This window comes from Homo sapiens, chromosome 7 (genome assembly GCF_000001405.40).
Source record: "Homo sapiens chromosome 7, GRCh38.p14 Primary Assembly".
Classification (NCBI taxonomy): domain Eukaryota; kingdom Metazoa; phylum Chordata; class Mammalia; order Primates; family Hominidae; genus Homo; species Homo sapiens.
In genome coordinates, this window is record NC_000007.14 from 5,680,463 (window position 1) to 5,704,300 (window position 23,838).

The window sequence follows — 23,838 nt, forward strand, 5'->3', positions numbered from 1 at the left end:
GCGATCTCGGCTCACTGCAATCTCTACCTCCCGGGTTCAAGCGATTCCCCTGCTTCAGCCTCCTGAGTAGCTGGGACTACAGGCGCGCACCACCATGCTCAGCTAATTTTTTTTGTATTTTACTAGAGACGGGGTTTCACCATGTTGGCCAGGATGGTCTCGATCTCCTGACCTTGTGATCTGCCCGACTCGGCCTCCCAAAGTGCTGGGATTACAGGTGTGAGCCACCGCGCCCAGCACTCAACACTTCTACTTGGATATCTAAAAGGCACCCCAGACAAAAGATGTCTGAAGCACCACTTCTGGCCCCTGGGCTCCCCTGTATCCCTGAAGGACACAGCCACCCACTGGCTGCTCATGCAACAAAACCCAATTCCTCCTTTCTCTTTACCCCCACTCATTCCAGCTTGTCCTTTCTGTTCCGCCTCCAAAATGCACCTCACATCTAACCCACTCCTATCTGGGTCCAAAACCCAGCCTAGATCCCCTCTGGCTGGGCCATGGCGGAGAGCCTGGACTTCAGGCCATCCCACCCCTCACTCCCTCTCATGCTGCTGCCTCCAGCCATACCCCGCAGATACCCCAGACCCTTCCCACACTGGGGTCTCAGCTCCTGTGTTCTTACCTCAACAGCTTGTCCCTGGCTCTTTGAACGCCTAGCCTCTTGCTTATAATTTGGACAAGTCCTGAATCGTTTGTGGTTCTTCAGAGACACTGAAGAGCCACCTGGGCCTTTAGCAGCACCCTAAATGTTTCTCATACTATGCCTAATGTAGGAACCTCCCTACCTCAGGAAATCCAAGCAATTACCTAGGGCCAGAATCTGAATTATCATCTGGTTTCATCTCCCATCATTTACCTGTTTTAGGAAAAAATACAAACTTTATTCTGAAAGAGAAAAGTCATCCTTGGCCCCAAACACGTCACATTTTATAGCTACACAGAAACAACTGTGGATTACCAAGTCCCCAGCAGCTTCTAAGCTTCTGGGAGGAAATCTGTAGCCCTGACCCAGTGTGCCTCCCTCTCTAGTTTATTCCAAGGGGTGTTCTCAAGCCTCTAGGGCTAGGCAGGACCTGTAGCACCAAGGACAGTGTCTTCCTCCTCCTTGATTAACCCTACCCACTGACCACACTGACAACCTTTCAATGTTGTTCTTGCTTAGGAAGTGTCAAGGACGAGTCCCATTCCTCAACTGGGGATAGTTTTCTGTCTGGTATGTTGGCCCAAGCCTCACTGGTTGCAACTTACCAGACCACACTGCGAAACCACACTGCTCAGCTTCAACACTCCGGCTTACTGACTGGCCATGGCATCTCATCAACAGCCATCCCTCAATCCTGACTACATAAACGGGAAACACCCAGAAAAGGAGGATAGGAGGTGAAAAGGCCAAATTCAAAAGCAAGTTCAACATGAAGACGGGATCTGTGTAGCCCCTAAGGGTGGTAACCCCCAGTGGTTTTCTAAAGAATGCTACAAAGATGACCATCTCCCTGTGCCACAGCAACCTTAGACAATGGGTCACAGCCCACTGGCACTCTGGCTCTGTGTGTGCCACTTCTGTGGCCGGCTGCTGCCTCTTCTCAGGGTGGGGATGATGGAGAAATGCTTGCAGACCTGTCCACTCAGCAGACACAGGCACCTGAGGCCATGCGGGCCCACGCTGCTAGGAAAAACCGTTGGCTTTCTTTCCCCTTTTCTAAATTGCAAAGTTGGCAGATTCTGTACCTACGTGCCAGCCCACACTGACTTTTTCTCAAATCTAGACTCCAAAAATCCCTATCTTGTTCTGAAATCCTTTGGAATCACCTCAGAGGCTACTTGACCAGGTTACCCTCACACCCGTCCCTCTAAAAGGGCAGCCATGGAGCACATGTTACTACTTAGCTTGGAGCAGCCAATCTCTGGCCTAAAGGAGAGATGACAGTTTTACTTTCATTTTTTTTCTTTTTTTTTTTTTTTGAGACAGTCTCACTCTGTTGCCCAGGCTGCAGTGCAGTGGCGCGGTCTTGTCTTACTGCAACCCCTGCTTCCTGGGTTCAAGCGATTCTCCTGCCTCAGCCACCCGAGTAGCTGGGACTACAGGTGCCCACCACCATGCCGGGCTATTTTTGTATTTTTAGTAGAGACAGGGTTTCAACATTTTGGCCAGGCTGATCTTGAACTCCTGACCTCAAATGATCCACCCACCTCAGCCTCCCAAAGGGCTGGGATATCGGCGTGAGCCTCTGCGCTCGGCTGACATTTTTACTTTTAAATAAGTAGCATGTAATAGAGTTAGAATAATCATGTGCAACACTTTTGGAAAGAAATTTGAAACTGTGCTCCAAGAGTCTTAAGCAAATGGATTCTCTTGGAATCAAGAGTCCTACTCTAGGGATCTATTCTAAGGAATAATTCTAAAAAAGAAAAAGCTTTACATATAAAGCTTTGCATTGCGTTAATGTAGCATCAAAACCAGAAAAAAATTCTACATTTCCAACTCAGGAGCAAGCATAGGTAAACCAACATAAATCTGTGTGATGGAATGACAACCTCCCATGACGGGGTCACAAACTCCTTAAGAATGCAGAAAGTGCTATGTCATGCTAAGTTAAAAAACAAAAAACAAAACCGCAGGGCACAACACTGTATGTATGCAATGATTATAATTATATGGTAAAAACAAACAAACAAACAAAAAACAGACACCAGACCACAAGCTAGAAATGCAGCATCACATGGTAGAAGGAATGAAGACAGGGCCAGTGGAATCTATGTAGCCCTTAGCAGCTCCTGGCCTCTTTGTTTATTCATTAAAAAAAAAGGGGAAACAAAAGACCTTGCTGGATTTTGTTTTATTTTTAAAGAGACAGGGTCTCTTGTCACCCAGGCTGGAGTGCAGTGGTACAATCCACAAGTTGGAGGCTCACTGCAGCTTCCAACTCTATTTTCCTGCAACAGTGCCCAGAGGTGTCTATATCTAAGTGGTGCTGCCAGACTGCTCACCACATCCTGAGGTGGGTCCCGTATCACCCCCATCCTCCATGTGGAGAGACCAAGGCCACAGGCACATAGCATCATGACTTAACCACCTCATCAGAACTCTCTGAACAGGTAAGATGTTCTCCAAGTTTTGTGATGGGAGAGAGGTGCCAGTTGCAATCCTGGCTCTACCCCTTTGAGTGCACACTTAACCTGGAGCCTCAGTGTCCTCATCAAGGAGAATGAGGACAATGTCAGCACCTTCCTCTCAGGGTTACTGTGAGGATTAGGAATTACAACTGTTTTTAAAGTGCTCAGCACAGCAGTAGATAATCAATGAGCCATACAATTATCATCAGTGTCTATGGATAAAACCTGTTAAAAGTGCAAGATAAGCCCAGCAGAATTTACAGCCTAGTTGCTATGGCCATCATTACAGAAAAAAGATAAACACCACATGAATTCTCCAGCCTGCACAGAGAATAGGGACGGGCATCACTTGTGTCTGGTGAGAAGGCTGGCTACTGCTAAGTTAAGGGCAAGATCCAGTAGGGGTCTTGTGGCGGGATGTGTGAAGACCAAGGCAGCAGCAAGTTGATTTGGTCTGGCAGTATCAGGTACTGGTCTGTGATGGTGGGACCAGTGTTTCCACAAGCTGGGCCTTCTTTTTTTTTTTTTTTTTTTTTTTTTTGAGATGGAGTCTCGCTCTGTCACCCAGGCTGGAGTGCAGTGGCGTGATCTTGGCTCACTGCAAGCTCCACCTTCCAGGTTCACGCCATTCTCCCACCTCAGCCTCCGGAGTAGTTAGGACTACAGGCACCCGCCACCACGCCCAGCTAATTTTTGTTTTTGTATTTTTAGTAGAGACGGGGTTTCACTGTGTTAGCCAGGATGGTCTCGATCTCCTGACCTCGTGACCCACCTGCCTTGGCCTCCCAAAGTCCTGGGATTACAGGTGCGAGCCACTGCGCCTGGCCCACAAGCTGGGCCTTCTAAGCCGAGCCTCTGCATTAAAACAAATGCTGATCTTTAGGCTCCTCTTGGAGTTTGTCAGCCCTGGCCTATTCCAGGAAGCACCAGCTGCTGGCTTCTCCTGGGCCTGGCCCCATGCAGTTCGATGTTCCCTGGGGTTGCTGGAAATCAAGTCTGGCTGATGTCAGGGGCAGTAAAGCCCATCCCATGTAGCCACGTAGCTTTCCCAGTTCCACTCAGGCTGTGGTGGCTGTCCCTTGCTAGTGAGAAAAAGGAACTTGACTGATACCTGAACAACACCCTAGCAGCAATTCCAGTGGGTGTTCAAGCAATGTCTTCTTCAAGGCACCTCACATATAGTTAGGAAAAACAAAACTTTACCTTTACAGAGTTCTTTCCTCTAGTAAACCAAATGACATGCCTCACATTTTTAAGGTGATGAAAAGAGAGGTCAGTAAAATTTTCCCCAAGAAGGAAAGGGTGCTTGGGAGTCCTGCATGGGGGGCTGGGGGTGGGGTGGGGTGTTAGTCTGTAGCTTTGTCACCCCACAGGCTTCAGGATGTGCAGGGGGTATCAGATTTGAGCAGTCTTTACACAGCATAGGTGGAGGGGTGAAGAGAGTGCCCAGGATTCTTGCTGATGGTGAGCCACGCTCTGGATGAAGGCAGCGTCTTGCCTGCCCTCAAGCCGCCATCTTGGGTCCTGGTGGCTCACTCTTTATTCTGCCTCTCTACCTCACTGGAGGCTCATGGCCTCCAGTGATTGGGCTGCCCATGTACAATGTCCACCACGGATGGGTGGGCATGGAGGTAGCTCCCCTGGCTGTGGTAGCTGGAGACAGTGAGCACGAACAAAACCATCTCCTCCTTTTTGCTCCAGAGCCTCTTGATCTCCTCCATCTTCAGAATTCCATGAATAAAACGTGATTAATGTCAGGAGGCCCCTTTCTGGGTCCATGCTCTGTTGGCCTGTGTTCTCTCCTCCTCCCCACAGAAGCCCTGGGATGGAAGCCAGGGTGTAAGGGAGGATTGTTGGGAGGGCAGGGCTATAGAAATTGTTCTGTTACTTTCCAAGACACTAAGGGATGCACACTAAACATTACAACTTTGAAAACAGCAAGCTACACGGTGAACTACATCAAGGCAAATTCTATTACTTTTTCCTCTTTCCTCAGCAAACTGAAAAGACAAAGCGGTGAGCTAAAAGTGAGAGGGGAGGGGGCATAGTGGAAAAGGAAGTAAAACACCAGAAGCCAACCTGACATCAGTCCTGGTCTCACCTCCTCTGCTCTCAAACTCCCAGCCACATGGCAAGTCACCAGCACTGCAGATGCCCATCTCAGTAGCTAAATCAAATTCATCTTGGGAAAAGAGCTTTAAATATTCAAAGCCCCATTAATCCTCATGCCTTGTAATTAAATATGTATGTTAAGAAGGCTGGACAAAAGCAAAACATTTTCAGTATGTGAATTCTTTATATTTGGAGCACTATAATGCATTTCTATGTACTGACCTTGTAGAAAACGATGTAAAAAATTCCGGCCGGGCGCGGTGGCTCACACCTGTAATCCCAGCAGTTTGGGAGGCTGAGGCGGACGGATCATCTGAGGTGAGGAGTTCGAGACTAGCATGGCCAACATGGTGAAACCCTGTCTCTACTAAAAATGCAAAAATTAGCCAGGCGTGGTGATGCACGTCTGTAATCCCAGCTATTCGGGAGGCTGAGGCAGGAGAATCGCTTGAATCCAGAAGGCAGAGGTTGCAGTGAGCCGAGATCATGCTGCTGCACTCCAGCCTGGGTTGACAGAGTATGACTCTGTTATTAAAAAAAAAAAAAAAAAAAAAAAATGGAGCGTGCTTCTCCAAACTCTCAAGAACACCACTGCTGCCACGTGGTTTCTGTGGGGGCTTCTGACACCTCTGTCAAAGAGCCCTTACCTGTTGCGGCCTCATTTGCTTCTCACAACCACCCTGAAGGGGGCTGGGACAGAAAACAGGATCCCCATTTCTCTGATGAGGAAAGTCAGAGTAAATGATGTGCGGACAGTCACACAGTGGTGGCTTAAGAGTCTGAATGTTATCTGTTCTCTGGTTAAGTGCTGCTTAACCATCAGTGCCTTTAGGAAAGCTGAGGCAGGGAAGCCAAATCTGTACAATGCACGCCAGTGTTCCTAAACTGATGTTCTAAATTGTGAGGCTCACTTAGAACTGCACTTGTCAACTATTTCTTTAAATACATGTGAGCTGGGTTTGGAAGATTTGTCAAACAAGCTTTCAAAGGTAGCGCTATTTGCGGCAATGACATATTACCTACAGAAGATCTTAAAACAGCGGTCCCCAACATTTTTGGTCCTAGGAACCAGTTTCGTGGAAGACTATTTTTCCACGGACAGGGCGTGGAGAGATGGCTTCAGGCATTAGACTCTCATAAGGAGTGTGCAACTCAGATCCCTTGCATGAGCAGTTCACAACAGGGTTCACGCTCCTGAGACTCTAATGCTGCTGCTGATCTGACAGGAGGCAGAGCTCAGGTCGTAATGCTCACTCACTGGCCCAGTGCTCACCTCCTGTGTGGCCTGGGGATGGGGACTGGGGATCCCTATCTTAAAAGATAAAAGCAGAGCCCTGATTATTCTAATTGGATTCATCACCACAGTCAAGTGAATGTTATAGAAACACCAGGTTCAAAATCAAAATCTAGAAATTAAAGGAAGACCAGGTACGGTGGCTCATGCCTGTAATCCCAGCACTCTGGGAGGTTGAGGTGGGCAGATCACCTGAGGTCAGGAGTTTGAGGCCAGCCTGGCCAACATGGTGAAACCCCATCTCTACTAAAAATACAAAAATAAACTGGGCATGGTGGCGGGCGCCTGTAATCTCAGCTACTTGGGAGGCTGAGGAGGGAGAATCACTTGAACCTGGGAGGCGGAGGTTGCAGTGAGCTGAGACTGCGTCACTGCTCCATCCTGGGCAACAAGAGTGAAACTCCACCTCAAAAAAAAAAAAAAAAAAAAGAAAAAGAAAAGAAAAGAAAGAAAAGAAATTAAGGGGACATGATGTGGGATTTTCAGAAACCAAAGAGTCCACTCACATCTACTTTTGGACAAAGATACTGTAGAAAGACTCTCATATTGGCACTTGTGGACCTAAATGACATCTTAAGTTTCTTCTAGTTCTAAAAGGCTGTGACAAGCCTCTCTGCCTGCCCCTTGTGAAATCCTGAGATTAACAGATCTCATTACAGAGGAGGAAACCAACACAGAGAAATTAAGTGCCCCCAAATGACCAGGAAATCAAGAATGACAGAAATGCCAGTGTCTTACTTTCCAAGCATCTAAGGAAGGAGAAGATAAGTGAATCCACTAGCATTTCCAAGGACCTAAGTTTAAAGGTGCTAAGAGTTTTGCAAACATCCCCTCCTTTAATCTTCAGACAACCCAGTGGGTGAGGCAGAGATCATGATCTCACCATTTTACAGATGAGGAAACCAAGTCACAAAGAGATACAAGGAAGATTATGTAGGTCGTGTCCAGAATCCCGGACTGTCATGCCACAGTTAACATCTTGCCATATTCTTTTTTCTGTTTTCCAGGAGGGAAAAACAGCCGTTTTGACAATTTTCACTTTGCTTGATGGAAGGAACTAGCGACCGCAAATGGAACCGAAGAGGTAATTAGAGCAGTAAATAAGCAGCAGCTATTCCTGCTCTATGTCCTGGATTCCCACAGTTGGCTGGTGGGGACACCAGGCTTTCACGCACAGAACTGTGTAAAACTGAAAGCATTTCAAAAATGATTAGTCTTCTTTCGATTACTTTTATATTGAGAGAAAAAGCAGAGTAGAAAGCTGTTAAAATGTAACTAGACAGTAAATTGAGCCAAGGTAAAACCTGTACATAAAAAAACAGACTCACATATCTGGAAATCATAAACAAGGGGCTGCTCTATTTCAGACAAACCGCATGTCAAAGGAAATTGCCCAGCTACACCTCTTTTCTATCCTAAAGCTTTTTAAAAAAATTTAAATGTTCGTATCTCTGTTGACACTAGTGAAAAGAAGAACACATACTGAATGTGCTAAGAAATACAGAAGTTATTATAAACAAAAAGCAAAAACTCCCCTCTTGTCAAGCCTTCCTGTAGCAGTTTGTGTTTCATGCTTAGGTTTTGAAGAAAAAAGTTAAAGGCGCATGTATTTACCAGCTTTATCCTTTACATTTATACAAAGTGAGCAGAAGGCTCACTCTGCGCACCTTACCTTGCTTTACACATCTGACAGTGTATCTTCTGGAGACTTCCTTATCCATACTTATTATCAGGCTTGTCTTATTTTTTTTTGGACTGGGATATCTGTAAAACTGTGGGTGACTTAGGATTGGGCAATTCTCAGTTTATTTAGCTTTCTTATTAGTGAAAGAGTTGCTCTTAATAATATGATACGAATTCCCAAATGATGATAACAGCTACTAACATTACTGTGCAAAGCACTGTGTTCTTCAATATAAAGTTTAAGTCTGAACTCAAATGTTGACTGAATGAGAGAAGCGGGAAAAATATTCACAAAACTAGGTAAAGGAAATACTCCTTTTTCTTCAAGTGGATCTGAGAAGCCTGGCATCTTACTTGGTTCTGCTGTGGCTTCCTCTCTCATAAAAGAACAGGCTGCCGATTCTGTGAAACAAAATGATATCCTATTATATGGCACCACCATCAGTGCCTTGTGAGCCAATATGCAGAACCAAAAGCACAGGAGGGAGGTGGAAGGGGGTCCTGGAGTGCAGCGCTAAGGGTCTGGGGAGGTGGATGCTTGACGGGGGCAAAGGGCAGGCCTGGCTCCAGAAGCTGATATGGCAGCATTTTGGCTAGTTTGTGAGGTATAGGAAAAGTGACAGAAGTTACGCTCAGTTTTTGTAACCATGACTCACTCCAAGACTTTCTCAACAATAACCATATTTGTAGTATTAAAAAAAAAAAAAAAAAGAAAGAAGAAGAAAAGTGAAAGGCAAAACATCCAAAGCCGAGGAGGCAGGGCGCCTAGAAACCCACATCCCTTCTGTTGTCAAGTGATCAATAATTTCCCACTTTCTGGAGGCCATTTTCTAAAAAAAAACAAAAAACAAAAAACCCTAGGCTTGTAGTCAAGTAGTTTTCCTTTTCTCTTGGACTTCCTACAAGTTTTTAAAGCATAAGAAATGTAGTTTTAGGGCTGTAATTACATGATAGACTTGAGTAAAATCATTTAGATATGCAGAGTTTAATAAATAGTACAAAGGCCAGGCATGGTGGCTCACGCCTGTAATCCTAGCACTTTGGGGAGGCCGAGGCAGGTGGATCACCTAAGGTTAGGAGTTCAAGACAAGCCTGGCCTGCGTGGCAAAATTCCGTCTCTACTAAAAATGCAAAAAAATTAGCTGGGTGTTATTCCAGCCACTTGGGAGGCTGAGGCAGGAGAATCACTTGAATCCAGGAGGCGGGGGGTTGCAGTGAGCCAAGATTGCGCCACTGCATTCCAGCCTGGGTGACTCTGTCTCAAACAAAAAAAAAAAAAGAACAGAAAAGAGAAGAGAAGAGGAGGGCAGGTAACCCCCCTTATTTGCCGAGTTCACCTGTATTATATTTTACTTACATCTTTAAAGGTTTTATGGCCAGGCGCGGTGGGTGGCTCATGCCTGTAATCCCAGCACTCTGGGAGGCTTAGGCGGGCGGATCACCTGAGGTCAGGAGTTTAAGACCAGCCTGGCCATGGTGAAACCCTGTCTCTACTAAAAATACAAAAAATTAGCCAGGCATGGTGGTGCACACCTGTAATCCCAGCTACTTGGGAGGCTGAGGCAGGAGAATCTCTTGCACACAGGAAGCGGAGGTTGCAGTGAGCCAAGATCGCGCCATTGCACTCTAGCCTGGGCAACAAGAGTGAAATTCCATCTCAAAAAAAAAAAAAAAAGATTTTAAAGATCCTTTTTACTTCCTGTTTCTCTAAAAGCATGGTTAGCAATGCTCAGAAGCTAGGTCAGTTTTGGTGACTGACTGCTTTGTTAAGGTTTCCCAGGTAGTATTAAAGACCTGGAATCTATCAGCTGCTGCCACAGAATGAAATTCTCCTCTCCCTGCACCATCTACCACTTAGACCAGGGGAGGAGGCGCCACCTTCACCTCCCCTAGAAACTTCAGCAGCTCCCATCAGCAGTGCTTTCCCTGTACATCTGCAAGCATCACATAACCCTAAATAGTAAGCAGGACTGGCACTGTTATCCCATTCTACAGAAGAGCAAACAGAAGTCCACAAAGGCAGTGGGAAGTGCCCAGGGCTAGTGAGAGGTAGAGTGAAGATCTCGCCCTTCTCTGCTGATGCTCCTGCAATACAGCCCACACTAGAGCTCATGCCCCGACAGCCTGCAGGGATGTACACACGCATGTTCTGCCAGGACAGCTCTGCCACACCAGCCTGACACTTAATAACACATACGCACATGTGTAAAATGTACACATTCATCATGGAATTGCGATTTGGGGGCTGAAGACAACCTACAGATGAGTCAACTTGGACCCTGTGGTTCAGGGCTTATCCAGCACACAGCCAGGAGAGGCTGAAGCTCCACCTCCACACACCCCCTGCAGCACCTTTTCTGCCTGTCGTCTCTTCCCAGCTCACACAGCCGTGCAAAGAACTCTGTTCTCACGGGTTGATCTGCCATGTTTTTAAGTTCCGACAGAAGCACACCCATTTCTCTAACCGTGTGTGTAGACGGTGAGCCTGGGTGATCAACGTGACAGCACTTCTGCTCATGCCAACAGGGTGCTCTGCCAGGTCTACCCATGGTGAAGGGGAGACAAGCCACCTGACACCTCGCCACTCGGGCCGACGGCAGCATTTGACTGCTAGGACACTGTCTTGTGACCCACTTTACTCACTGCTCCTTACTTCTCAGTTATAAGCAGTAATTAGTAATGTCAGTGTTCCTGTTCTGGCTGGATTGCTCCTGGCTGGATTGCTCCAGGCCCATTAATGATACAAGAGCAGGAACAGATGAATGCGTAAGTGTACAAGAGAGGTTTCAAGGTTAAAGGCAGTAATGGAGAGAGCTATGGTGGGGGTGGGGAAGGCAGTGCTGGTGTGTGTAGAAGAGAAGGGGAGAGGGGGAATGTGTGTGTGAGAAAAACAGAGTATGTGTGTTAGTTTTAAGTCTATTCTTTAAAATGCCCAGCTTCTCCTTAGGGGCAACATGTATGGCAAAGCACAACTTCTTAGCGTCCTCAATCAAGTGAAGTAGAATCTTCTATCTGGCATGGACACATGGTTCTGGCCACCCGGCAGGGAGTCCATCAGTACTAACTCTAGACACCGGAGAGTTACTAGTGTATGAAATTGAGGTCAGAGGAAACTACACCAATATCTTTCAAACATATTTTCGATGTTTTAAATAACTTCTCTTACAGAAGGCAATGTCTGCTTGTTCAGCAGAACTGCTACCTTCCCACTTAATGCTTTTACAGCGGAAGTCAAGACAAGTAATGAAAGACAGACCCCAGGGGCCGACAGTCAGGCCCTCCTACTCTAGTGGAAGAGATACAATACTTTATATTGTTACAATTGCCTCTGCATACCTACAAATCTCCATGTTTTCAAGGAGGGATTTCAAAAGGTATAATTTCCGACATTCCTACCCAGAGTTTTGCTGAAAAATAGAATGACAGCAAGTAAGCCCGCAAATCATGCCTGGAAAAGGCTTAGCACGGCTATTTGAAAAATATTTGCTTGGGAGCTGGAAGAGGGAACTATGAATCGAGGCTGGCAGCCAAATGGGAATTTTTTAGTTGTTTATATGTACACTGCCTTCTAAGCAGACAAGGATTTGCCACTAAGCCTTTTACTTGTTCCTCACATACCAAAAGCTAACTGTTACACATACTAGGAAAGTAACAACTTTATTTGCTGATTTCACAACCCAAAGCAGACATTTTTAAAAAGCGGTCATAGCAACGCCGGGTGAATCAGAACCCATCCTTGTTAGTCAGACATACTCTGTGGGAAAAGGCAGCAGTTGGAAACAGTCTTGAATTCTAACTACTAAAAGCCATACTAATTCCCGCGGGGCCCTGACTTCTGGTCCAAGGTTTCTCACTGGCTGTATCCTGTCCGACAGTGCCAGAGCTTGTGCTGCAAGCAGAGCCCGTGCAGAAGGCGAGCGAGGAGAAAGGCAGAGCTGCTCAGTTCCAGCTCCTTCCACACACCACAAAACGCCATCCCTCGCCTCCAGCCCGAGGCAAGGCACTCCTTTTTAGGTGGTAAAATAAGCCTTCCAACACACCAGAAGAAATAGCTTGGAGTTTGAAAATACACAAGCATATTTTAATAATCACATTTCTATTTTTCAAGTTCTCTTAATACAAACAAAACAAAAATTCTTTTGCTCATGTTCAGACATGACTAAGTTAATGACAATGGGTATACAATGTGACACATGCACACTCCTCCCTTAACCCTTGGTGAGCATCCTCAAAAGCGATTCACTGCTACCCATTTCTTATCTATCCTTCCAAATAGATTTTATGTCTGTGTCAGCAAGCATCTCTTCCTCCTCCCATTTAAGACACAATTGTGGGCATATTGCACCCATTGTTCTACGTCTTGCTTTTTTCACTTAATATCTTGGAGACAGCTCCATATTTGCACAACGGGATTCCACGTCATTCTTTTAAACGCTATGGTATATGCTACGGGTTGGCAAACTACAGCTCACTGGCCAATCTGGCCCTCTGCCAATTTTTGTAAATATAATTATACTGGGACACAGCCACATTCATTTGTTTACATATTGTCTGTGGTTACTTTCACGCTATAAAGGCAGAGTTAGGTAGCTGGGATAGATACCATATGGTCCGCAAAGCCTGAAATATTTACTACCTTGCCTTTTACAGAAAAAGTCTGCTGACCCCTGGTATGGATGTTTACAGAAAAAGTCTGCTGAACCTCAGTATGGATGCTGACCCCCCGGTATGGACCTCCACTGTACTGAGGTACCAAAATGTACTGAAATTGTTCCCTGCTGATGGGTATTGCATTGGATTTCCTTAAGAATAAAATTAAACTCCTTTAATGCTAAGAAGCTCCAAGACATTTGAGGAAGGAAAGAGCAGGAACTAGCTAGGAAGAAGCCGGCATGAAGAAGCCAAGCTTAAAGAGGGAACTTCAGAGCAAGCTACAACCTCCCCAAGTGTCAATTCCTCTTTTTAGAGGAAGTAAGAAGGGAACTGTAGGTCTTTTGATAAGAGGAAATTCCCCTTTGCTATATCAAAGCTGCTCCCTGTGCTTGTGTTGTTCTAAAGTTAGGCAAGACTGCCTGAAGCATACTGTGACCAAATTAGGAAGCAAGAAGGCTGATGTCTCTAAAGCTGGTCACCCATGGCCAGGCAGCCCAGGCATGCAAAGACAGAGATGGACGCGGGTAGAGACTCTCTGGCCAACAAGGAGATGCTATTTGCTTAAGAAATCAGCCTTAAAAATGACACAACGAAAATTAATAACTGTTCTATAAGATGGAATTCACTTGCTGTTGTTGACCAAAAAAACAAAGGCTTCCAACATTTCCACAAGCAAAGAACATGAGAGAAGCACAGTGAGACGAATGCTCCCAGGCATCATGGGTTTATTCCAAAGGCAGTAAAGGTCTTGGAAAGTGCCAAGGAAATTATACCACTTAGCTCTTTGATAGATCAAGATAGTCAGTTTTACACTATTGAGAAAAGAAGAATCCAGAAAGGTCTTACTAAAAAGGGCATTTTGTAAACTTTCCATTTTAGGACGGCCTACTCAATTTCTTTATTTGCTGGAACAGTTTTCAAACAAGTCTTTCAGCTTCAAAACAAGGTCTAGGTATGCAGTACTTGAATCATTCACACTGAGCTTGCTTCCGCCACTGCTACTCAATGATATTCTCTTTAAGGAATGACTTCTGAGTTAACTTTTGATTCAGATCCAATGAGCTCAGAATCTATTCTGACCACGAGCACTATCTGGGTAATAACATTTGACCTTGAAATCCCTGCTTTCCTCCAAAACTTCCAGATCAGCAAGATTCTTGGACACAATTTTTATTCCCTTGGCAATGTGCTTAGTTCAGTTCCAACATCTGCTATGAGATCAGACAGTCAGAATTAAGGTAAGTTTAAACGACAAAACAAATCTCAGTTCTTGTTTATAGGAAAACCTTCAAGGGCTCCAAGCCAAAGGATGAGGCCCACTTGTGGCGCAATTTGAGGACCTGCCTGCCCTGGAGCAGAGATGTGTATGGTGGCCATGCCCTTCAGCCTATGGAAAGTACATTCTCTGTAGCTGCGTAGCTTGTGTTGGGCTGGTCTCCTGGTCTGCCAGGGTGCACTGGGCAGAAATTTTACAGCCACTCTCTCAAAGTGTTCTAGGTGTTGTCAAAATAGCTAAGCATTTGTCTACTAACTACTCCTGTTTTGATTTTGAACATTTATTTATAATCATCTAAAGGACCCAAGCATTTTATAGAAAAGACAATATACTTTCCAAAGACCCTGGTTAACTGACATACAAATCCACCAACTAAGAACTGTATTTCTATTAGTTAAGGCTTCTGTGGCTCAACTTTAACTGAGCCAAAAAATACACTAATGGGCCAATGGGGACACAGATGGGTTAGGGAACTACCCCTGAACCCAAAGTTCATATATAGCCAAGAAGTTCAATGACTTCAAGCTACACGAAGTTAGCACTTAACCTATCCACGGTTCTTCATCTGTACAACAAGCATGTCTGGGTTATATGACCTCCTGGGTCCGGCTTATAAATCTAACATCTACAACTGCAAGTCAAGAGTACCAAATACCAATATACAAAACCACCTGCGCAGACCCAGTGCAGCAACTTGTACCAAGGTTTGAACCACACATTCACACGTCCAGCAGCCACAGAGACGAAAACGACACGCCAGCCTGTCCTGACCTCACACTCCCCAGTCTGAGGGCCCGGCAGAAGCGCCACATCGCCTTCCTCTCCTGTTTTTTCTTATGGCTGCTGCTGCCTCGGAGCCCGGACTAAGCAAGGCTGTTAGGCACGGGGTGAGCACGGTTGCGCCTACTGCTGAGAGTGCCTCTCCCTGCCGGTCTCCTGCTCTCTCTCTGCAGAGCAGAAGACACCGCAGCTATAGACAAGTTCTATTGCCCTTTTATGGTAGAAAAATGAATTGCTTGCTAGCAGTGGTGCCGAGAGAGATGACAGAATGGAAAGTTGTCATTTGTTGTGGTTTTGGCAGCCACAGAATAGTGTTCTCCCCTAGTCATCCTCGGATGGATGGTGCACACCAGGCATTCACAGAGGGAAAAGCAAAACCCCTGGTCAAACTGTTCCCTTATGTGTTCTTCCCTTGCTTTGCCTGTAAACGGATGTGTTTATTTATGAACAGTGTCAAGCCCCATTGTGGAAATGTACTTTTTACAAAACAAGGTATCAAAAGGCTGTTTGTGTTGCACTGAAAGACTAAGCAGAGGTGCCACAGAAAACATGTTTCCCGTCAGAACGCATCCAAGGAACAGACTTCATTTCCTCACACAACAAGGATGTAGGACTAGGCTGGGAAGGGAGGGTACCCCACTTGAAGGAGGGGCTGTGGCTCTCAGCACAACCCAGCACGGCCTTGATCCCTGACTCCCAGGAGGCACGGAAGGACAAGAAAGCAGCCACCAGCTCCAGACAAATCCAGCCCAAGGGGAAACACACTGACATCCACAGTCCATGTGGTGACGAAGAGCAGTTGGTACCGCATGGCTTTAAATTGTTTGTATTTCTGTCAGGAGGCCCATGGAAAAAAAGCAGGGCTCTCAGCAGCTGGGAAAACATGTTGCAAAAGGAGAATTAAGCAATTCTCTGTATGCACATCACAGAGAAATTAAGCTGATCTGAGTGAGAGAAATTAAGCTTATTCGACATGCCTTCGGCTGGAAAACAAGCCTTTTTAAATGACTGGGAAAAAACTTGTGAAGGTTACATGGTTTCCTCCTTATGTAAAGCACCTGAGGACTAAAACAAATTCACTGGCCGGTGGGAATGCAGCAAAGCAGCAACTGCCCAATGATCTACTCCAGGGCACCCACACACACCACAGGAAGGAGGAGCAGGCCGGGGCAGCCTCCTAGACACGCGTGCCCAAGATCGTGTCCTATGGTCTCGCTTCGGCCGCTCTTCACCAAAGCCTCTTCCTTGGCTGCTGCCATCCTCGCTTTTGACTACTGCCCCACGTCTCCCCTCTTGCCCCCAACCTGCCCTTAGAACCAGGTTCCTTCAGGCCAAATCCCACCTAGGTCTTCTGGAAAATGGGAAAAGTAATCACAGCAAATACCTGCAACATTGTACGAACGGGCTCTGGGAGGGCTGTAGGAGGACGGCATGTCCCCAGGTTACTAGAAATGACTTGCCATAGTGACTACATTGGCAAGGTGTTCCAATTCCCTTGATATTCTATATCTGATCTCTCCCTCCCTCCCACTCCCTTTCAAGGATCTACAAAATTCACCCTCCCACAAGCAGCATGTGATCCCACTGTGTCCCTCCATTACGCCAGCAACAGCTCCAGGGACGGGGGTAGGGGAAGTCTCCAAAATAAAATCCACCCTCCTTGTTTTGTTCTGCATTGCAAAGCCCTCAACAGGGTCTATTTATCTTCAAAGTCCTGCTTCCTTCTGCTCTGGACACACCTGTCTACTTGCTGACCCTTCACCCAGCTTTGCTCGTGTCATTCTCTGGGCCTGGAGTAAAGTTCTCCCCATCTCCGCCAATAAGACCCCACCACGGCCTGGTCAGGCCCAGACCCATGTCGCTCATGCAGAGCCGCATGTTCCTCACAGCAGTCACCATCACTCTCTCATCCCACTGATGGTCAGTTAGGGCCGTGGTTGCCCTTTCTCTTTCTTACTCCCTTTGGCACAGAAATGCTCAATACATATCTGCTGAACGAACGACCAGACTTCAACCAAAGCAGAAATCAGCCCACATGTCTCCATATAGGCAGATGACAGGCAGCTGGTAATGATCGTGTTTAGAGGAGAAGATGAAGTGTCAGGCAAGGTGAGGGGCCAAACCCTCATTGGCCTCTTCTGTACCATGGCTGGGCTAAGGCTTTTTTATTCTTTTGTTTGTTTAAAGAGATGAGGTCTTGCTATGTTGTCCAGGCTGGCCTCAGCCTCCTGTGCAGCTGGGACTACAAGTGCGCACCACCACTCCCAGCCTGGGGAAAGGTTTTGATGGAGTCCAGAGACAGAAGGTGGGGAAGGGAAGAATCTTTACAAGCAATTTGAGGTGCTTAGGATGCAAGGGTGCTCGCCTGGAGAAGACAGAAGCTAGGAGCACAACAGGTTAGGTCAGAGTAGTAGGTGCTGGCCTTGAGGGTGAAAAGTAGGTTTTTATGGGAGGCAAGAAGGCCTTGAAGCTAAGAGGGCTGTGGGAACACGAGATGTTTTTAGCAGCGAAGTCTAACAGAGCAGGGGAGAGAAGGGCAAAAGGACAAGCTGTAGTCAAAGATAAGAGCGGAAGAAATTGTGATCTATTTCACCCTCTTTGGGCTAGAATCTGGATCAGCTTCTCAGACATAGGCAGCTTTTGAAACTTCAAATGCTTTTCATACAAGCTTCTGACGGGAAATAAAACTGAAAAAAAAGTACTTTTATGAGGCTATGGGGATTTCATCTGAGAAACTCTCTTAGCCTGTTTATTTTTGAAAAGCAAATGCCAATCCTAGTTTTAAAATCCTCGGTTTTCTAGAAATCAGTGTTTGGGCTAGAGGGACACTCAAAAGGTCATGTGGGCTTTCTTCTGGTTGCAGCTGGACTGCATGTAAGCAGTTGTACTGGAGCAAGGAGGGTCTGTTACAGGCTATACAATGCTCTCAACACAGAACCCCAGGCTTCCTGGGAACCCAATTCATCGGTTACAATGAAGTCCAGTGAGCTGTCTTAGATTCTTTTATACACACACACACACACACACACACACACACATACACACACACGCATGCATGCTGGAGTACAGTGGCATGATCATGGTTCACAGCGGCCTCGATCTTCTGGGCTCAGGTGATCTTCCCGCCTCAGCCTCCCGAGTAGCTGGGACTACAGATGCACAGCACCCATGCCTTATTAAATTTTTTTCTATTTTGTGTAGAGACGAGGTTGTGCTTTGTTGCCCAGGCTGGTCTTGAACTCATAACCTCAAGCAATCCTCCTGCCTCATTCTCCCAAAGTGCTGGAATTATAGGCATGAGCCACCGCTCCGGCCTCTTGGATTCTTCATAGGTAGTTTAAGTCTGTTTTCCCAGAGAAGCTGGAAAACACCAGGTCCCTACCACTTATATAGAAGAATCTTGTGCAGAGAAACTACACAGGAAACCTTCCCTCCTCTAGGATGAAGAGCTCTTTAACCTTCTCACAAAAAGCTGTTAACATTTTCCTGTTATGTTGCACATTTTCTCATCTCTTAAAAAACTGAACAAGCCACAAAACAGGACATTCGAATAAGGGTCTTTCCAGTCCCCAAGAGTGAACTGGAAAGCAGCAAAGCAAACCAAAACAATGAGAGCACAGATAAAGCTAACACTGAAGACAGCTAGAGTTTTTGACTTGTTTTTTTTAAAACTAACTTTTTATTGTAGAAAATTTTAAACATATACAAAAGCAGAGGATGTAATGAACCCTATGCACCCATTATCGTGTTTAATAATGATCGACTCATAACCAATCTGAGCTTATCTATACCCTACCTGTTCACTCATCCCTCCTCCTTCAGTATAATTTTGAAGCAAATCCCAGATTACAAATCTTTTCATTTATAAATATTTCAGTTTGTATCTGCAAAAGATAAAGACTCTTGAAACTAATGCAGCATATCAAAATTACACCTAAAAACACAAATAACAATGAGAAACCCTGGATTTGACTCCTGATGCTGTCACTTACTAGCTGTGTGACTTTGAGCAGATAAGGAGTAAAAAGCCCCTAAAACCCAGGAAGAGTTTTATTAGCAAATACCTAGACCTCAGCCTGTTTTAACTATGATGCCAAACTCCCTGCTCAAGCTATTCTTCCCATACTGGCCCTGATGATCTGACAGAATTGAACACTAGCTTTTTGTTGTGTTCTTCACCCACTACCTCAGCAGATTGGATTTCGTTTCTCATCACGGCTCTGCATTACCAAGGATATTCACAGTCCATCTTCCCAGGGGAATTGTACAGAAACAGAGCACGAACTGTTATTTAGTTTCAGAAGAGATGGCAGGGACTGCTGCCTTAGCCTGTTACACTGGACATGAAGGGCAGCAGGCTTTCTGGGGCTGGGTGGTTGATTCCACTTGCAGTGATGTACTGGCCACAGATACAGACGCACATTTTCTAACTGTGGTCTGTGGGAAGGCCATGTGGCCTCTGGGAACTGGAGATGTGACAGAGACCCTCTGTATTCTTTATCTTTGTCTCAAAGTCAGGGAAGACACTGAGGAATAAAAGGCCTTTTACGTTCTCAGCTACCACATTGCAACTGGAATCTGACCTTGAATTCAAGGATAAACACAAGAAATTCCACCCAACAGCAGCTTCAGCTTAGGCTTTGCTCTCATCTTGCTCGATGCCCTAAACACTCCTCTTTGCTACTGTTCCCCTTCTCCACATTCCCCGCCCTGACACAGACACCCACGGGGACAGGGGGTGTTTTCATGCTTGCGGTATTACCATAGCAACAATTTCTCTTCTACCTGGAAGGCTGGAAACCCTGCAGTGCTCTGTGCTGAGAATGCAAAGAGGGAACACTATCACTTTCCACCTCAGCACACACCACAAGCCGCACACGTGCACTCACACACAGCCCCTTCTCAAGGACATCACAATGAGATCATGACAACAAATCAGGATGCTGACACCTAACAACACAAAATCAGTGCAATGACAAAAAGGAGGTAAAACATTTCTTATAAAAAGGTATTTTGTAGGTATCAATTCTTGAGGGATTTTTATTGTGAAATTTCTAACATGCATCTCTCCCTTGATGAGGCCACAGACACAGAAAAATGTCATTAAATTATTTTAGTAAAATATACAAAGGAACTTAATAGGTGGTGTGTGGTTTCTAGAAAGAGGGCCACTCCAAGCTTCTGATCCCCACAGGCTGTGACAAGCCTGAGAAGCAATAGCTAACTAGTACACAAAACCACAAAAAGAGCCACTAAATTTTAATTAAGTACCCATAGAAACTCGTTAAAAATCCACAGAGAATCTTTTTCTGTGAGTACTACAGACAGTGTGTTTTAGTAGAGACCAAAAATAACAACAACAAAGAGACAAGTAGGTGTGTCCTTCCACAAGGACAGTCCAAGGTGAGCAGCCCTGGCATCCAAGCCTGCCCGCTGCCATGGGTGGGCAGGATGACCAGTGCCCTCCCAGTAGGACAAAAACTCATGCCCAATGCACCAAGAAGACAAACCCTGGATTTCCATCTCTCCACTGCAACTAATTTGGAGTTCTCTAGTATAGCGTATCGCCGTCTTTGTTTCTAGGCCCCTCCTGTACTCATTTCTTCTGAATGTCATCCCTGAGATTCTAAACCTTCTGAGTAGGAGTAAGAAATCAACATGAAACCTGAGAGAAGGAGCACAGCAGTGCTGTGGACAGAGAGTGCAGACCCTGAGAGTGGGAGCACACACACGACAGCCTCCCCCAGCACGTGGCTCTCCCCAGGTTGCACAGGGCCCTTCTCTGAACTTGAATAACGTGGACTAAAGGAGAGCTGTCATTTCTTATAGAATGTATCAGTTAGCAAAAAAATCAGGTTGAAAAATCTACCCCTTTACATGGCAGAACACTGGGGAGCTGGTAGAAATGAGTTGAGTGGTGAGTGATGAGTCATCTTCTGTTCCCTGATGGGATTTTCCACCTGCCCACTTTAGGGGAACTCCATGCTCTTGTGGCAGCAGGTTCACAAAACTGGAGGCAGTTCCCCCTTTCTAGGATCTCCGTTCATCTCCTGAGGCCGCACATCTGCACACACCATCCTCACTGGGCAGCTATTACTTCGTGACACAAAGTGCCAGGCACTGCACTTGACACTTTACCCACGCTGTTTCCATTGGTTTTGCACAAAAGCTCTACGAGGTAGGTGCAACCGTTCTTATTGTACACGGAAAGGAAATGTGGCTTAGGGAGATCAAGTATTCACCCTATGTCACAAAGCTAGTGAGTGGAGGAGCTAGAATTAAAGCATAAGTGGGTTTAATATCAAAATCCCTTGTCTTAACCACTGAGCTATACCGTTTCCCTCACTGTGATGCAGCAACAGCCACGCATTTCACTGCCATTCATGGCCTCACAGCACCCAGTGCTGTGCAGAGCTGCACATCAATCAACACTTCTCACGTAAGGGCTTCAAAAGAACTGTTGAAACAGACAACTTACTATGAAAGCCCAGCAAAAGACGTGTCCCAAACAATGCCTCTTCATGTGAATGGAACAGGAGGTTCGTGACTGGTCTCCTGAGAAGGTGGAAACACTAACCCAGGAAGGCAGCTCAGGACCAGAAGGGAGCACCAGGATGTTGTCTGGGACAAGGAAGAGCCAGGCCCATTTCCTAGGGATCAGGGAGGTCGGCGACATCTGAGGCCCCAGGTCGCTGCCGGGTTCTCGGAGCCCACGCTGACTCTAGACTTCCTTGGCTCTGAAATGCAGGTGGGTGTGGGCTCTGCCACCTGCCGGGGGGTCAGCAGTTGCCTCTGCGAGTTTCGAGGGGAGAAACCTGAGGGGCTGCAGCAGCCCTGCAGAGGGAGTGGGAGTGGCAGCATAGTCCATGTTCACTCACAGCTCCCAGCCTCCTCCAAGGCGGGCCAAGGGGAGAGGCAGGTGCTTCTACCATTAGCATCTGACATGAGGGATAAAGTAGCTGAAATACAGGGGTAAAAAACTATTTCCACAGGGCCAAGCAGAAACAAAAATAAAATTTTTATTCATATTGGCGTTTTGTTATAATGCGTATGTATTTTTACCTTTCCCTATTTCGGGTTGTCAGCTCTCTCCCTTCTGAATAATCACTGAAACAGCAAGCATGGTATTTGACTCTTAATGGGAAGGCAGGGTGGGAAGGGAGGCAAGCAACATTTGCCTTTTATTATTTTTCTTCTTCTTTAAAAGAATCTAACAAACACATCTACTCTATGCTGTATTTACTGTGCTTCAATAGCAGGTAAGGGAAGAGGATGTGCTTGCGTGTGTAATTAACCAAAACCTTCCCAGGATCAAGAAGTCTGTGATGAATAGATTCACTATGCTTTTAAATTTTAAAAAGTGAAATTTTAAAAAGTGAAAACTGACAGAAGTACTCAGACACAAGTAGAGTTAAAAATCCTGAAGCCTCCTTGCTATGACGCCAGCCCTGCTCAGTACGTGACGGAAGGGAGGCTCACAGGGATGGTGTCTGCGACCCACTCAGCTCTGCCATTTACCATCACCTGACTTTAAGCCAGTGTCTATTTTGTAGGGCTGCTGTGGGGACCAATATGAGCTGAGAGCTCTGCCAGGCACCCTACATGATATACCTGTAAGGGAGCGTCCTTCTGCGGCCTGAACCTGAAGCTCTTCAGAGGGACCCATGCTGGGCTCTGAAGAAAGTGACTCACCTTGGAGGAGCAAGGGCAGGTCACATTCCATGATGAGAAATTCTCACACCACCCTCCTTCATATTTGACTCACATCATGCAGCATGGACTTCCACTCCAGTAAATGAGTCCTCATTTGTGGGCTTAAAAATCTTTTTGTTACCCAGCTATTTGGTTCTTGTCAACGCTACTTCCTGAATAAAGGTCTTCCCTGATAGTAGGAACAAGTGGCCCAAGCTTCATTCATCTCTAGATAAATGTGAAGGCCGTGCTCAGCACAGGAGTCAGCTGACTGGCTGGGCCCCAAATTAGAGTGCTGTTAATAAGTGCCAACCACCCGCCATCACAGCTGGAGCTGCCCTGGCATTGATAGCTGGTCCACACTCATTTACATTCTCTTCACGCAGCCATGCAGCTACTGTAGGAGGCTGCAGATGCCTGTTTTTTAACCAACAAACTGGTTCACTGCAGATGTGAATTTTGGTTGTACTTCACGGCTGTAAAGTTAAAAACAGCAAATGCTACAAAGAATAGGATGGGAACCTAGAAAGGGCAGAAAAACAAGCAGGGAAGAAAGCTGGCAGGTGAGAAAAGATAAATAAATACAAGTGACATTGGGAAAAGATGGGTGGTTACACAACCACACACACATTTGCAGTTTCCACGAAAAGACTACACCAGATGTTCTTCAGTTACTCTGATTAAACTCTCACCACCTGATGGTCTCTCGTCGTTAGCGCTTGCTTCATGAGTGTGCCTAAACCTCCACCTTGTGGCCCTAAGTTTCTGGAAAACTTGACTTACACAGCTCTGAGTTTATAAAGCAAAGTTATGGCTGTGGCAAGGCAGAAAAGACTCAACAGTGAAACTTCTGACCCTAAGAATACATATTCCAGAAGCATCACCTTCAAATCTCCTTTTATGTAACACTCTTCAGTCTCACACCAAACACACCCAATTCATTCCTAAAAGCAGCACACTGAAAACAAACTAATGAATTCTTTATCTGAGAACACACAAGGGAGCTGAGAGCCTTGACAAAAGCATTCCATCATATCAATGAAACAAAGACTCTCTCCATTTCATCAAAGATACAGTGTCTTATTCTTCAGGGATTCCAGAGGACTGATTCCAGCCATTCAAGTCCTCCTCCAGAGGCCGTCTTATATTAATACGTTTATATTAATGCCGTATTAATATAAACGCCTCATTTCAGAGCGACAAGTTCCTGAAAAGCCAACTGGAATTTATA

At 45.9% G+C, this 23,838-nt stretch overlaps 1 protein-coding gene across 10 annotated transcripts in view, besides 9 other annotated features; it reads right to left on the bottom strand.

Moving 5' to 3' along the window:
* Window positions 1-60: an enhancer, noted in NCBI's record as "active region_25606". NCBI's record gives its function as "activates an Ori minimal core promoter by ATAC-STARR-seq in GM12878 lymphoblastoid cells {active_cell/tissue: GM12878}" and the evidence as "EXISTENCE:reporter gene assay evidence [ECO:0000049][PMID:35858748]".
* RNF216 (ring finger protein 216) overlaps window positions 1-23,838 on the bottom strand; it is a 161,617-nt gene that overhangs the window by 60,416 nt on the left and 77,363 nt on the right. The gene's annotated exons all lie outside the window — the stretch shown is intronic.
* Window positions 2,014-2,063: an enhancer, noted in NCBI's record as "active region_25607". NCBI's record gives its function as "activates an Ori minimal core promoter by ATAC-STARR-seq in GM12878 lymphoblastoid cells {active_cell/tissue: GM12878}" and the evidence as "EXISTENCE:reporter gene assay evidence [ECO:0000049][PMID:35858748]".
* Window positions 2,194-2,243: an enhancer, noted in NCBI's record as "active region_25608". NCBI's record gives its function as "activates an Ori minimal core promoter by ATAC-STARR-seq in GM12878 lymphoblastoid cells {active_cell/tissue: GM12878}" and the evidence as "EXISTENCE:reporter gene assay evidence [ECO:0000049][PMID:35858748]".
* Window positions 5,166-5,245: a silencer, noted in NCBI's record as "silent region_17929". NCBI's record gives its function as "represses an Ori minimal core promoter by ATAC-STARR-seq in GM12878 lymphoblastoid cells {active_cell/tissue: GM12878}" and the evidence as "EXISTENCE:reporter gene assay evidence [ECO:0000049][PMID:35858748]".
* Window positions 14,754-14,993: an enhancer, noted in NCBI's record as "active region_25609". NCBI's record gives its function as "activates an Ori minimal core promoter by ATAC-STARR-seq in GM12878 lymphoblastoid cells {active_cell/tissue: GM12878}" and the evidence as "EXISTENCE:reporter gene assay evidence [ECO:0000049][PMID:35858748]".
* Window positions 15,623-16,123: an enhancer, noted in NCBI's record as "H3K4me1 hESC enhancer chr7:5735716-5736216 (GRCh37/hg19 assembly coordinates)". NCBI's record gives its function as "activates a minimal SCP1, AML or CMV promoter by ChIP-STARR-seq in naive H9 embryonic stem cells {active_cell/tissue: H9 hESC(naive)}" and the evidence as "EXISTENCE:reporter gene assay evidence [ECO:0000049][PMID:30033119]".
* Window positions 16,124-16,624: an enhancer, noted in NCBI's record as "H3K4me1 hESC enhancer chr7:5736217-5736717 (GRCh37/hg19 assembly coordinates)". NCBI's record gives its function as "activates a minimal SCP1, AML or CMV promoter by ChIP-STARR-seq in naive H9 embryonic stem cells {active_cell/tissue: H9 hESC(naive)}" and the evidence as "EXISTENCE:reporter gene assay evidence [ECO:0000049][PMID:30033119]".
* Window positions 20,745-21,024: an enhancer, noted in NCBI's record as "active region_25610". NCBI's record gives its function as "activates an Ori minimal core promoter by ATAC-STARR-seq in GM12878 lymphoblastoid cells {active_cell/tissue: GM12878}" and the evidence as "EXISTENCE:reporter gene assay evidence [ECO:0000049][PMID:35858748]".
* Window positions 21,488-22,687: an enhancer, noted in NCBI's record as "BRD4-independent group 4 enhancer chr7:5741581-5742780 (GRCh37/hg19 assembly coordinates)". NCBI's record gives its function as "activates an origin of replication core promoter dependent on BRD2, P300/CBP, MED14 and CDK7 cofactors, and independent of BRD4, by STARR-seq in HCT116 cells {active_cell/tissue: HCT116}" and the evidence as "EXISTENCE:reporter gene assay evidence [ECO:0000049][PMID:35650434]".